We start from the raw sequence: 14,329 nt of genomic DNA on the forward strand, positions 1-14,329 counted from the left end.
ATATGCAAAATTACAGGGTTGAGTAGATGGTCTCTGAAGCTTGTGGCTAGATTTCAAATTCTACGTCAGTGCTATTGACTCGTGTTCACCTTCTTCTCTGAAATGTTCTTTGAGTGCTTTTTTTCTCCTCCCCAAGATTTTAGTTTAAAAAATACAAGGACTTCTTAGAGGAAACGATACAGACAGAATTAATCCTTTCTCGTTTGTGCACAAATAGACCAGCTGCCTGTATGTATCTAGAAATGTGTAATTTCCAGAGGGTTCCCCTTGTTAAATCCCCACCATGGCCCTCCAAGGAAGGTATTTTCAGTCTCCATTACACAGGAGGAAACAAGGCTCAGAGAAGTGTAGTAAGTTGCCCAAGGCCACACAGGAGGTGAGCACAGAGGCAGGATTCAGACAGTTTGCAAATGAGAGGTTGCTATAGCTTCAACACTGAGAGTCTGGGGTGATTGGGAGCATGGTTTTGGGTAGGCACGTTCTGAGTCCTGACACTTGGGACTTGGATGCTCTCATTCCCTATCGGTGGGAAGAGAAGCCCAAGACAGGCTTCTGATGGGTATCAGGGCCCTTCAGTGAATCCTGGTTCTCCCAGCAGGTCCGCTTACCAGCTGGAGGAGGTGCCCAGGATGCCAGAGGCCTTTTCTGGGTCTTAGATGAGGAAGTCCATGTAGAGGGCTCCAGTGACAGTGTGGTGCTCGAGCGTCTGTGTGCTGCTTTCGAGAAGAAAGGAGCTGGGACTGAAGGTAAGGAAGCAGGGGGCTGGGGATGGGGCCTGAGTCCAGCCTGGGTATTAGAATCTGTTCTTCTCTGCTGCAGGGAAAGCCCTGACAAGGCCTGCACAGAGGCTCCAACGTGCAGAGGTGAATGTGCATGAGCCTGTGTATGCTTTCATTCATTCAAGTATTCAGTGAACGCATTGAGCAGCCACTATGTGCTGGGTACTGTTCCATGTGTTAGTTAACCAGCCTGGCGTGGGCCAGTCCTCATGGGGAAGGCACAAGCTCACAGCCAAGCACATGCGTGCACAGTGAGCCTGCAACTGCACTCTAATGGGGCGCATCAGGGCGTTTCTCATTTTTCTGGTAGCCAGTGGGAGATGCGTGCAGATGCATCTAACAGAGAGCCAGGAACACGATGCAGGACAAGTTTGGAGATGGCTTCTGGGCTCAGACTGCAGAGGCTGTTGCTGGTCATGCAAAGGTCTTAACCCTAGAGCAACGAGAAGCCATGAAGGATTCCAGGCAGTGGGAGGCATGATGAGCTTCATGTTCTGGAAAGTTCCCTGAGGTTGTAGTGTGAAGATATGGTAGGAAGGCAGGTGGTCAGGGTGAGAGAGGAGCTGGCCTGCCCCAGGAGGTAGAAACCTCTGGAAGTGTTTAGCAGGTAAAGTCCATAGCACTTGGTGGGAGTTGGATTGGTGGAAGGGGGAGCAAGAGGGGAGATGAAGGCGTGAAACCAGAACAAAGTGATCATGAGATTTGGTATCCATGGGCTCCAAGTTGAAGTCCAGTTATTTCTGCTTTCCCCTGCATGATGTGGGGCAAACCTCTCGTAGTCTTAGTTGATGTGCTTTTAAAATTGGGAAAGAAGTCACCCCTGGCCCTTTTTTCTCTAGAATTTCTGCTACGATGATTGGGTAATATTATGTGCATGCAGAGCTTTGTCACCGGGGTCAAGGTGTTGCAGGTTTATTGATGAGGATGAGGATGCTGATGGTGATGGAGAACATGATTCTGGGGTTGGGGAGTGTTGCATGTACTGCACTCAGAGCAGCATACGCAGCTTTATGGATAGCTCCTGGTAGGATTCTGTCCCACACTTGGAGATACATATTCTTATTCAAAAACTGAGTTCCAGAAGTCCTTGTGCAAGGTCACCCAGAGGAGAGAAGGGTCAAAAGACAGATTCAAAACATGGTTTGTCTGGATCTGAGACTCAGATCCCTACAACACTAGGCACTTAAGAAGGCAAATGTAGTGGCCGGGCGCAGTGGCTCACGCCTGTAATCACAGCACTTTGGGAGGCCGAGGTGGGTGGATCACTTGAGGTCAGGAGTTTGAGACCAGCATGGCCAACGTGGTGAAACCCCATCTCTACTAAAAATACAAAAAATTAGCTGGGTGTGATGGCGCATGCCTGTAGTCCCAGCTACTCGGGAGGCTGAGGCAGGAGAATTGCTTGAACCCAGGAGGTAGAGTTTGCAATGAGCCAAGATCGCACCAGGGCACTCCAGCCTGGACAACAAGAGTGAAATTCCATCTCAAAATAATAATAATAATAATAATAATAATAATAATAATAATAATAATAAGGCAAATGCACTTAGTGATCTTATCAGTCCCAACCCTCTTTGAGGCCAGGATATGTGCTCGCATTCATTCATTCCTTGGTCCCTTCAGAAAATATGGATGGAGCACCTAATATGTGGCAGCCACTGTCCTAGCCCAGGAGATGCATCTTCCAGCAGAGAAGAGACAGTAAGGCAGGTGCATCCGAAAGGAGAAGACTGAGGACTGTGACTCTGGTTGAGGTCACTGAGAGAATGAGGCTTGGTAGAGAAGATGTCCAAGGACTAGGTTCTGGGACATTCCTATGTCAAGGTGTCAGGGACAAGGCAAAAAACCAGCACAGGAGACTGAGGTGTGGCCAGGGAGGCAGGAGGGAAAGCCAGGAGAATATGACTCCCTGGAAGCCACAGGAGGGATTGACCTTATCAAATGCGGCTGAAAGGTCAAGTGAGGTGTGTGCTGGGGAATGACCATTGGATTTGGCCTCGTTGAAGTCATTGGAGACATAGACAGATGCATCTTGATGGAATGTTTCGGGTGATTGTCCAACTGGAACAGTTTATAAGAAATTGGGAGAAGAGCCAACCATCCAGTGAGTGAGCGCCGGCAGAAGCTTCCAGCTTATGGTGACCAGCAGAGACCTCTGTCCGAGACATTCATGGTAGATTCCTGTGCCCATATCAGGACAGGATTGTCTAACCAGTGAAGCAGCAACAGCATCTGATGCCTCCTGCAGCTCTCTCTGGAGCAAGCTCACAGTGCAAATTCCTAAATTATTCCCAGAGAGCTCGGCTCTGCCAGTGACTGGCGCAGAGCTGACTTCTCTGCCCATCATGGAGGCACAGTGCCCGGTGTTCTGGGGGCCCATGAAAATGTTGTTTTTCATTTTTTTAAATTTTAAGGTCAGGGGTACATGTGCAGGATGTGGAGGTTTGTTATATAGGTAAATGTGTGCCATGGTGATTTACTGCACAGATTGTCCCATCACTCAGGTATTAAGCCCAGCATCCAGTAGCTCTTCTTCAAGATGCTCTCCCTCCTCACCCTACGATGTGCCCAGTGTGTGTTGTTCTCTCCCAGAAAATGTTTTAATTTCTGGAAAGAAAAAGAACTTTTAGGCCAAGGGCAATTCTTTAATATATGCCTATATATTAAATTATACACACACACAAATATATATATAAATATATGTAAATATAAATATATATATACATACATACAGAGAGAGAGATGGAGTTTCACTCTTGTGGCCCAGGCTAGAGTGCAGTGGCGCGATCTCAGCTCACTGCAACCTCCGCCTCCCGGGTTCAAGCAATTCTCCTGCCTCAGCTTCCCAAGTAGCTGGGATTACAGGCACCTGCCACCATGCCTGGCTAATTTTTTGTATTTTTAATAGAGATGGGGTGTCACCTTGTTGGCCAGGCTGGTCTGGAACTACTGACCTCAAGTGATCCACCCGCCTCGGCCTCCCAAAGTGCTAGGATTACACACACACAGTCATGCACCACATAGCAGTGTTTCAGGCAACGGACTGTGTATACAAATGGTGATTCCATAAGATGATAATACCGTATTTTTACTGCACCTTTTCTATGTTTAGATACACGAGTACTTACCATTGTGTTATGGTGGCTTACAGTATTCAGTGTGGTCACATGCTGTACAGGTTTGTAGTTTGGAGCCATGGGCTGTACCATACAGCCTATGTGTGTGGTAGGCTCTACCATCTAGGTTGGGGTTAGCATGCCCTATGGTATTCCCACAAGGACCGAATCACCTAACGATGCAGTTCTTAGAACATATCTCCATTGTATAACTGTATGTGTGTGTGTATGTGTGTATGTCTGTGTGTAAATATATGTGTATGTGTGTGAACATGTTTGTGTATATATATATATATATCTGTGTCTATATGTGTATGTGTATATCTGTGTGTGCCTGTGTGTGTGCATGTGTGTGTATGTCTAGTTGTTTGTATATGTGAGGGTATGTATGTAGTGCATGTGCCTGTGTGTATATGTGTGTGTGCACCTGTGTGTGTATGTATGAGTGTATACATGTGTGTGCATGTGTGTATATGTATGTATATATGTATTAGTGTGTATACGTGTGTGCGTGTGTGTATATATGTATGAGTGTTTGTGTATATGTGTATGAGTGTGTATATATGTGTGTGCATGTGTGTATATATGTATGAGTGTGTTTGTATATGTGTGCACGTGTGTATATGTGTGTGTATATATGTATGAGTGTGTTTGTATATATGTGTGTGCATGTGTGTATATGTGTGTGTGTATATATATTTTCATGGAGGAAGGTGCCCATGAAAGCAAACGTGCCTAGGGCCCAGGAAGTTGTGCTGCGGCCCTGGCCGTGCTCACCCTGCAGGAGTCCTGGCATTTACTTAATCCTGGCAATGATGGAATCCCCTCCACACAGGCTGGGGTGTGAGATGTGTCTGCCCCTTTGCTAGCTGGGGAAGGAGAATGAATGAGTGGCAGAAACTGCTAGTTGTGGAGCCCTTGGTTGGAGCCAGGCCTGTGGGCTTTACTGCACCCCAGCTACAGGGAGGTGACTGAGTCCTTGCTGAGGTCCAGTGGCTTCCCAGGGCCCTATAGGCGCCGAGCACAGGGCTAGCGCTGAACCTGGGTTGCCTTACTGCAAAGGCCAGTCGGACTTGTGACTTTCCGGGCTGTCAAAGGGACCCCTGTCTCTATGTATGATACGGGCTCAAGAGTGGAGATTTTGGGGAGCAGGGGAGGCATCTCACTCAGATCCAAAAGAAGCCAAGAGAAAGAGCTGGGGAAGCCCAGGCTTTGGGCCCCAGAGCCCTGAGCTGGCTTCTGCTCACCGCTCAACTGCACTGTTGGCGACTCCTGGAAAGTCCCCTCCTGGTTCTGTAGGATGGCAGTCCTGGTGAAACCCGTGGGCTGTGGCGAGGATGGAGGTGCTGTTTGCACGGAGCATTTCCACCTCCCCCTCCTTCAGCTCTCTGCTCAGAGGTCACCCTTTAGATACCTTCCCTGCCCTGTCTGAAGCTGTCCCCCTGGCAGCCTCGCTACCCCATCACAACTCCCTGTTTCTTCCTTCAGGGCCCTTGCCAGCTCTGTGAAGTTGTGGTTGTTTCTCTGCTTGCTTGCCTGCTTGTTGCCATTCTCCCCACAACCCTGGGCGCTCCCCGAGGACAGTTGCTCCTGTTCACTGTCTCCCCAGGGCCCTGATCATAACAAGGCCATATGTGCATGTTCCTCTCCTCTCTCCTGTCACCATCACACAGCTCTCTTTGCTGCTCTTCAAACATAGCATGCACATTCCCACCTCTGGGCCCTGGCTTCAGCAGCTCCTTCTGCCTGGAGGGCCCTTCCGCCACATTCCAGCCCAGTGCTGCTCATGGACTTTCCCTGACCTCTTTGTAAAAAGCGGTGACCCCTCCCTGCCTGCGATCCTGGCTCCCTCCCTGGTTTTTCTCTTCCCCACTGCATTGGTCACCAGGGCATGTCCCACACTTGCTCATCAGTCATTTCCCCTTGGGGAAGGCCAGCTGCATGGTGACAGGGGCGAGGCTGGTCACCTCTGTGGGGATGACGCCTGGCACAGCTGGCGGGATGAGGTGCACAGTGAATACTTTTTACAAAACTGATGAATATGTGAAAACTCAGTGATCTAGAATCAAGGAAATGTATTATCAAAGGGAATGTTTTCTGGATCCTGCCTTGTAGGTAAAAGAGACGGAAAGTAGGGTTGGAAGCAGAAGGCATATGGTAGGGTGAGGCTGGAGTGGGCAGAAGGGGATTTGGCTAGATTTGTGGCCCCTCCCCTTTTATCCATGAGGTCTATGGTGTCAGTCCCAGATATCCCTAGCAGTGTGCTATAAAGCCCTCAGTACCCAAGGGAGAGACTCTGTCCATATCCTTTGCCTTAAACCCCCTGAGAAGACACATTAATTATGACATTTTGGTTAAAAAGAAAAAATAGTTCTCTTCCTCTATTGCTTTCTGGTTGGCTCTGAGTTAATGAGAACATTCAATCATCCAGAACACTTGGGGCATTCCGGCTAACCCAGGGCTCGCTGTTCATGACCTCATTTCCTTACCTCAGGTACATTTGCTGAGTGTTCCCACAAGGGCCAGCAGGGACTGGGATCAACTCTCATGGAGCCCAGGCACAGTGGACAGTCAGGTGACAGGCCCTCATCAACCTCCGAGTGTGACCTGCAGAGGCTGAGGGGGCCCTCTCTGGGGGGTTCAGGCTGCTGGGGGAGGTGACAGAGTCTGAAGCTGTGAGAGAGATATGCTGGATAAGGCTCCATCTTCCAGAAGTATCCATGGGGCTCCTGAAAGCCAAAGACTTCATGGGAAATGCTTTCATGGACAAAATTGTGGAATAAAAGTCAACTTCAGGATAAAGGAGTGAATGAGGGGAACAAGCAGGCCTGGAAGCTGGGTACTGTTTTCCAGGACATTGCCTGAGAAATGTGGCATTTCCGTGTGCTGGACACCATCCTGGACAGAGGCAGGCTTTTGGACCAGCAGACCTGTGGCCTCATCCTGCTGTGCCCCATTAGCCAAATTGCCTCATGTCTCTGAACTTCAGTGTCATCTTCTAGAAACTAGCCCAGAGATGCTAACATTACCAGCCAGAGTGAAATCACTCATGCTAGCATGTCCAGCAGAGAGTGCTAGGAGCCGGGGCTTAGCAAACATCAACATCCTTTCTTCTTTCTTCCCTGTCCCCTACTCGGTCACGATCCTCATTCAGAGCTCAGCCCTGTACTGGCTGCTGAGCCTAACAATGAGTCAACCAGTCCCTGCTCTCCAGTTGCTTCTAGGACAGTGGAAGGAGGCAGCCAGGTAAACAGATACCTGTAGCATTGTAAATGCAGCACGGACATTTGCGCCAAAGCCTGGTGTGTGCTTTGTCACCTTACTCCCTGTGGGTGCTTTACTCTCCCATTGGAAGGGGACTTTCTTGAGGGCAGGGACTGCACAGCTCTGAAAGCGTCACAGGACACTCTTGAAACAGGGAAACTTCACTTTGCTAGAAGGGTTCTGTGCTGGTAACTTCCGTTATCCTGGACAGGGGCAATCTGGGAAGTGAGCACACAGTACCTCTAAGCAGCCACACAGGTGGCAGATGCCACGCCCTTTACTCCTACAAAGGCTCACGAAAGCCGCAGACTCTCACACTGCTGTATTTTGCAGAGAGTTCCAAGAAATGCAGGTCCTTTGTTTCCTAGCTTACTGGAGTTTAGAGGCAGCAAATTAGGATTTGAGGGGAAGACTCAGGACCCTAGTGCATGCAAGTACGTTGGCAATAGCAGGATGGGAAAGCAAAGTAAGATCGTTCCGAATAGATCCAAGAGTCATGATAATCTGACCACTCTTAATAGGAATCCATCTGGGGGCCAGGTGCGGTGGCTCACGCCTGTAATCCCAGCACTTTGAGAGGCCAAGGCAGGCAGATCACTTGAGGTCAGGAGTTCGAGACCAGCCTGGCCAACATGGTGAAACCCCATCCCTACTAAAAATACAAAATTAGCCAGGCATGTTGGCTCATGCCTGTAATCCCAGCTACTGAGGAGGCTGAGGCAGGAGAATCACTTGAACCTGGGAGGTGGAGGTTGCAGTGTGCCGAGATCGCTCCATTGCACTCCAGCCTGGGTGACAAGAGTGAAACTCCGTCTCAAAAAAAAAAAAAAAAAAAAAATTCATCTGGGGCCATTCAGTATGGAGACAGCTATCCCAAACCTGTGACTGCAACCTGTGAGCATCACAATAGTTAGAGTAATATTATAAATGAACAGCAATCCATTAATTAATTAATCCATGCATTCATTTTGCAAGCACTTCTGGACTCTGCATGTGCCAAGCATGATGCTGGGCACTGGGGATGTGAACATAAACAACACTTTGTGATTCGGGAACATCAGCAAAGGTTTAAGTGCAGTCAAGGGCAGTGACAACCATTACTGCTGACTGAGTGACCATTATGTGCCCGGACACTATACTAAAATATTTTACATACATTATCTCCTTTAAGCCATAAGCCACTCTGGGAGGTATGCTTTATTTAATCCACATTTTACAGACGAGGAAACTGATGCTCAGAGACTTACGGGGCTTGGCACCTTTCACACAGTAATAAATGGTAAAGAACCTAGGATTTCTCTAGCCCCCAAGATCAGGCCCATTTTTTTCTCCCACCCTGTCTCTTGGAACCGATGTGCCTGTATCTCCCAAAAGTATTCCCTGTATTTATTTGGTTGATGGTATTCAAAATGATTTTACGCGGCATAAAACTAAATATTTTAAAAATATTTCATCATAATTTCCATGCATATCAGAAAATAAACATATCTTGCACATCAAATCGGCAATATGATGCTTCTTTTAAAATGAATGTACTGTACTTGTGAAAATGTAAGTCGATTTAAAGAAAACATCAAGTAAATCACAGTCCAGGTGATACGTGGTTATATATATAGAAAAACTCGAGGAGATCGAGTGTACGGATGATGTTTGGGAAAAACAGGTGTCCTAGATTTAAGAAAGCAAGAAAGAATAAAATCCACTTTGGAAATAATGTACACAAATTCACTACAGCAGGAGAAATGTGGGTGCCTTCGACCATGAGCGTTAGCTATCTGGAAACACGTTAAGATGGATACTGTGCGTTTAAGGGATGCCAGCTGATTGCAGAGTGTCCTCAACAGGCTCCAGCACTCATGCCACCATGTCTGTTTCCAGGGTCCTCTGCCCTGCGGACCTGTGAGCAGCCCCTCCAGTGTGAGATTTTCCACCAGTTGGGATGGGACCCTGTGCGGTACGACCTCACGGGCTGGCTCCACAGAGCCAAGCCCAACCTCTCGGCCCTGGATGCACCCCAGGTCCTGCACCAGTCAAAAAGGTGAGTTGGGTCAGGGTTGGGGACGGGGATGGAGCATTGGAGGCACTGTGTTTTCCTTCCCACCTAAACTAGGCAGTCACTACAACACAGTGTGGGAGGGCCAGCCCAGGAATCCCATCCCTCCATAATGGAGCAAAGAACCATAACTTGAATTGGAGCAGTGCAGTGTCTCCCTGGGGCCAGAGTGAATCCAGCTGAGGAGAAAAGCTGGCCTCCTGGGGAGGTGGAACAAAAGCTAAAAAGCTGTGACTTCTTATTTTGGCACTTTGCCTTTCATTAAGTATCTGAGAGATGATGTGACTGGAACAACTTTTATGGACATTCAAGAACTAGGGGTTCATAAAACTGAAATGATACGTTTTGTAGCGTTAAAAAAAAGCTCACCATGTTCCCTGGCTGCTCAGCCCAGAGTGCTGGCGTGAGGCCGGCAGCATTCTCTGCTTTTAGTTCAGAGGCTTATTGGAAAATGCTGTGTGTGTGTGTGTGCATGCACACTCCCAAGTTCAATGCTGGAATTCCTCAGGGGTAGAGCTTAGAGACAAGAAGAGAAACTGAGACGACCAGGGAGGTGCTGGTGTCTCAGATGGGCACCAGGATGAGAAAGAACCACTTACTCACTACTCCCTATGTGCCTTGGATCAGCATAAACGCTTTATGAGTATCTTCTGAATCCTTATCACAACACAAGATCCTTAGTCCCATTTTACACATGAGAAAAATTGAGGCCCCGAGCAGTGAAGTGGCTTGCCTTTGCTCACACAGCAGAACAGTGGCACAGCCAGGACCCAACTTGAGTCTAAGAGATGCTTGGAGAATTCCCAGAACATTATGTCAGAGCTGATTGGAAACCCACATCCAGGAGTGGGGCTCGTGAACATCCAGCTCCTGGAGAGAGATTCAGGCCAGGGCTGGGGCAACAGGAGTTGCGAGCACACAGAGGACTGAATGATGACCCAGGTGGCACAGGTTGAGTCTCAGCCCTGCCCTTTGTCACCTGAGTGACCGTGGGCAGTCGCTCTCCCTCATCTCGGTTGTTTCTGCTTCCTGTACCATAAATAAGAGCAGGACGATGCTACAAGACTCAGCGGCTGTAGCCCAGCTTTGGGGACAGGAAGATGTTCAGATTCCGTTTTTCCCTCTTTTAAGCTACATGACCTGGACCTCAGTTTCATAATCTGAGAAATGGGAATGAGGTTCCAAAGCTCCCATGTCTGATCTAAGAAGGCTTTGGTGACGTAAAGTAGCAGATGACCTATTAGAGAGCCCGGTTCGTAGTTGGCTCATGGAAGAGGGTAGGCCACTCTGCTTTACTGGAACAGACACTTGAAAAGCTGGCACCCTTGGCCGGGCGCGGTGGCTCACGCCTGTAATCCTGGCACTTTGGGAGGCCAAGGTGGGCAGATCACGAGGTCAAGAGATCGAGACCATCCTGGCCAACATGGTGAAACCCTGTCTCTACTAAAAACACAAAAATTAGCTGGGCCTGGTGGCGTGTGCCTATAGTCCCAGCTACTCGGGAGGCTGAAGCAGGAGAATCGCTTGAACCCGGGAGGCGGAGGTTGCAGTAAGCCGAGATTGCACCGCTGCACTCCAGCCTGGCGACAGAGCAAGACTCCATCTCAAAAAAACCAACAACAACAACAACAAAAACGAAAAGCTAGCATCCTGGCCACTAACCTCAGAATCTGTCCATGACAGGGATGCTGAGAGAAGGCACTGTCTGCTCAGGTATCAGGCTGGGTATTTATTTGACATTATCTTGCAGCTCCAGAAACTGTGTGCCCAGCCTGAGTCATTCCTTCTTGCATGAAACACATGGCACGTGCCTACTGTGTGCTAGGCCTGGTCTAGGAATAGCAGAGAGGACTTTGACCTCTAAGAGAGTACAGGTGTCGTAGCATTGCTGTAGGTATGTAAGTGACAAGAATATCCATAGGACAGATGCTCTAAGCCTAGGCAGGGAGGGAGCATTTGAAGGTAGAAGACGGGCATCAGGAAGGAGCTGGCATTTGCCATGAAGCAAAGCCTCACCTGGCAGGAGGGGCTGTGAATGAAGGGGAGCAGCTGGGACACATGACTGTAGAGGAGGCTTTAGGAAGCCGAGGAGCAGGAAGCAAGAAGGCTTGTTCCCTTTGCCACCACCCAGGCCAAGGCTTTCCCAAGAACCTCCTAAAGCTCCTCTCTCTTTTCCCTCCTCCCCACCAGAGAGGAGCTGCGGAGTCTATTCCAGGCCCGGGCCAAGCTGCCTCCTGTGTGCCGGGCTGTGGCAGGCCTGGAGGGCACCTCCCAGCAGGCCCTGCAGAGGAGCCGCATGGTGAGGAGGACCTTTGCCAGCAGCCTTGCCGCGGTGAGGAGGAAAGCCCCGTGCTCCCAGATCAAGCTGCAGATGGTGAGTGGGCACCCTGTCTCATGGTGTCCTGGCCTTCACTGCCTCCATCCTCATCTCCTCTGGGCTGAGTCATGTGCCTACATCATCTCTAACCTCCCCAGCAAGGCCAGAGGGGCGAGTGTCACCCCACGCTCCACAGAGGAGGAAATGGGGGCTCCCAGCAGCAATGAAACTTGGCCCTGGTCACACCCCCAGGAAGTGACTGATCCAAATCTGAGGCCTAAGCCTGTGCTGCTTGGTGTTGAGTTGAGAGGCCTGGGGGAGTTCCCAGAAGCTATGAATGCCCTCTTGACTCCAGTGACACATATGAGAGCCAGACTAGCCCTGTCTGCCTTGCTCACCACTAGGTTCCCCTGGGGCAAGGCGGCAGGACCCAGCTGGATGTAAATGTGGTACCTAGACCTGGAATGTGAATCCGTGAATAAATGAGAACATGAGATTGGTCAATGGCCAGGCTGAGCAGAAATGAGAATGGGCTGAGACAAGGGAAGGACACCTTTAAATAAACCTTATAGTGGCCGGGCGCAGAGGCTCACGCCTGTAATTCCAGCACTTTGGGAGGCCAAGGCGGGCAGATCACGAGGTCACGAGTTCGAGACCAGCCTGGCCAACATGGTGAAACCCTGTCTTTACTAAAAATACAAAAAATTGGCTGGGCGTGGTGATGCATGTCTGTAGTCCCGCTACTTGGGAGGCTGAGGCAGGAGAATTGCTTGAACCTGGGAGGAGGAGGTTGCAGCGAGCTGAGATCGTGCCACTGCACTCCAGCCTGGCAACGGAGTGAGACTCTGTCTCAAAAAAAAAAAAATAAAGAAAGAAAGAAAAATAAAATGGACCTCCTAGTGCGTTATAGTGGAAATGCCCTTAGTCCGAGTCCTGAGTTCTAGTCCCAGCTGTTCTGCCACTGGTCTGTATGACCTGGGGCCACTCACTTGCTCTCTCCATGCCTCAGTTTCTCCATCTGTTTCAACAAGAACCATTATTTCTCATGAGCACAAATCAGGCTGTAGGTGGGAGCTCCTTGGTGTGGGACATAGGGGCCCCAAAGATGCTCAGGTTGGGCTTAATGAATATTTGGAGAGGGTCCAGTCCCCTTTCTGTGTCTCTGTGAGACAACTGGCCCTGACCTCCCTCTATTTGGTCTAGGATGCGCTGACCAGCATGATCAAAAGGTCCCGGCTGCACTTTATCCACTGCCTGGTACCAAACCCTGTGGTGGAAAGCAGGAGTGGGCAGGAATCTCCACCACCACCGCAGCCTGGTAGAGACAAGCCTGGGGCAGGTGGACCTCTGGCCCTGGATATCCCAGCACTGAGGGTCCAGCTTGCTGGGTTCCACATCCTGGAGGCTCTGCGTCTGCATAGGACAGGTAAGAGACAGCTAGGACACAGCACCTTGTCTCTGACTCCTGGGACATGTCCACCCACCAGTGGCAGCCAAGGGATGGGAGCCCCTGCCATGTGCTAGGAGCTTCACACCCAGCATCCTGGTTACTCTTCCCAGCAGTCTTCTGAGATGAGGCCACTGATGCTCAGAGAGGTGGAAGTACTTGCTCATGGTCACATTGCCTGGACGTGGCAGAGCCTGGATCAGGACCCAGCTCTCTTTGAGTCTGAAGCCCACTGTTTTTTTTTTTCTTTATTTCTTCTGAAAACACACACACATACACACACACACACACACACACACACAAAATGGGATACATGTACAGCACGTGCAGGTTTGTTACATAGGTATACATGTGCTATGTTGGTTGGCTGCACCTGTTGAAAAAGCCCATATTATTTCTAGAATTGCCTGTACACTCCTAGAAAACTAGGGCTGTGTCTTCCTTTTAGCCATGAATTTCTAAGGAGCATTGTCTTGCAACAGAGGGTGGAATTCCTGTGATGAGTGATATTTTGATGTTCACGATGCTCAGTTTGGTTTGGGAGGTTGCTGTGATCCCAGGAGATGATGATATGACTTGATGAGGGCTCATAGCACCCAGGGATACGGGAGGCCCTGAGGCCTAAAGGAGGGAGCTTCCTACTCTCACTGGGAGTTTGGGGAAAGCTCACAGTGATGTAATACCATAGTCAGGCCTTGAAGCATAAGAAACTGTCACCTCTGGCAAAGGGAGGGAACATTAGGCAGAGGGATCAGCAAGTATGAAGGATGGAGGCATAAAACGGGCAGGTTTTCAGGGAAGTGGATTCAGAATGAGTGAGGAGTTGTGGGAGAAGAGGCTGAGGCATCCACCAGCGCAGGCTGGGAATGCCTCTGTTGGGTTATCACCAGGTCCACCTGGGGAGATGATGGGCTGGCAGGGGGATGGGGGGATTCTAATCAAGGGATTGAAGTTTTTGGGTCTGTATTTTAGTAAGAAAATGTGCACCTGATGTCCCCACATTAGCTAATCTTAGGAGTTGAGTTTGATCTCAGTCCTTGCTATTCTTTTCTGCCTCTCAGTCTCCAAAGGCCACCACACTGACTCCCCTCTCTGACAGTTAGAAATGGCTCAGACAAGGCCATGCTCTCTGCAGAGGACAGGGTGGCTGGGACAGGCAGAAGTCTCAGGTGAGCACCTCATTTGGTTAAAGTCTCCGTGGTCACTAGTGCCCTAGTGTATGGTCGCTTCTCCCATCTCCCCCTGCTGGGTTAATAAGGGACCCCTGGGCACAGAGTATTTGACTGGGAGCAGCTAGAAGCAAAGATGAGACCCTCACTCCGCTGAGCATATCAATGATTTTCCCTCCCACCC

At 49.6% G+C, this 14,329-nt stretch overlaps 1 protein-coding gene across 14 annotated transcripts in view, besides 1 other annotated feature; it reads left to right on the forward strand.

The window, feature by feature from the left end:
* Nucleotides 1-14,329, forward strand: part of MYO18B (myosin XVIIIB) — a 321,660-nt gene that overhangs the window by 92,510 nt on the left and 214,821 nt on the right. For 10 of the 14 annotated variants that reach the window (XM_011530461.3, XM_011530458.3, XM_017029014.2 and 7 more), the window contains 4 exons: nucleotides 596-746; nucleotides 9,038-9,197; nucleotides 11,403-11,586; nucleotides 12,733-12,955. In XM_011530461.3, coding sequence (XP_011528763.1) covers nucleotides 596-746; nucleotides 9,038-9,197; nucleotides 11,403-11,586; nucleotides 12,733-12,955 — 718 coding nt within the window. The remainder of the gene's footprint in view (nucleotides 1-595; nucleotides 747-9,037; nucleotides 9,198-11,402; nucleotides 11,587-12,732; nucleotides 12,956-14,329) is intronic. The other 4 variants (XM_011530464.3, XM_047441551.1, NM_032608.7 and 1 more) reach the window with 1 other exon arrangement.
* Nucleotides 11,547-12,047: an enhancer, noted in NCBI's record as "H3K4me1 hESC enhancer chr22:26242211-26242711 (GRCh37/hg19 assembly coordinates)". NCBI's record gives its function as "activates a minimal SCP1, AML or CMV promoter by ChIP-STARR-seq in primed H9 embryonic stem cells {active_cell/tissue: H9 hESC(primed)}" and the evidence as "EXISTENCE:reporter gene assay evidence [ECO:0000049][PMID:30033119]".

Source organism: Homo sapiens, chromosome 22 (genome assembly GCF_000001405.40).
Source record: "Homo sapiens chromosome 22, GRCh38.p14 Primary Assembly".
Taxonomy (NCBI): Eukaryota; Metazoa; Chordata; class Mammalia; order Primates; family Hominidae; genus Homo; species Homo sapiens.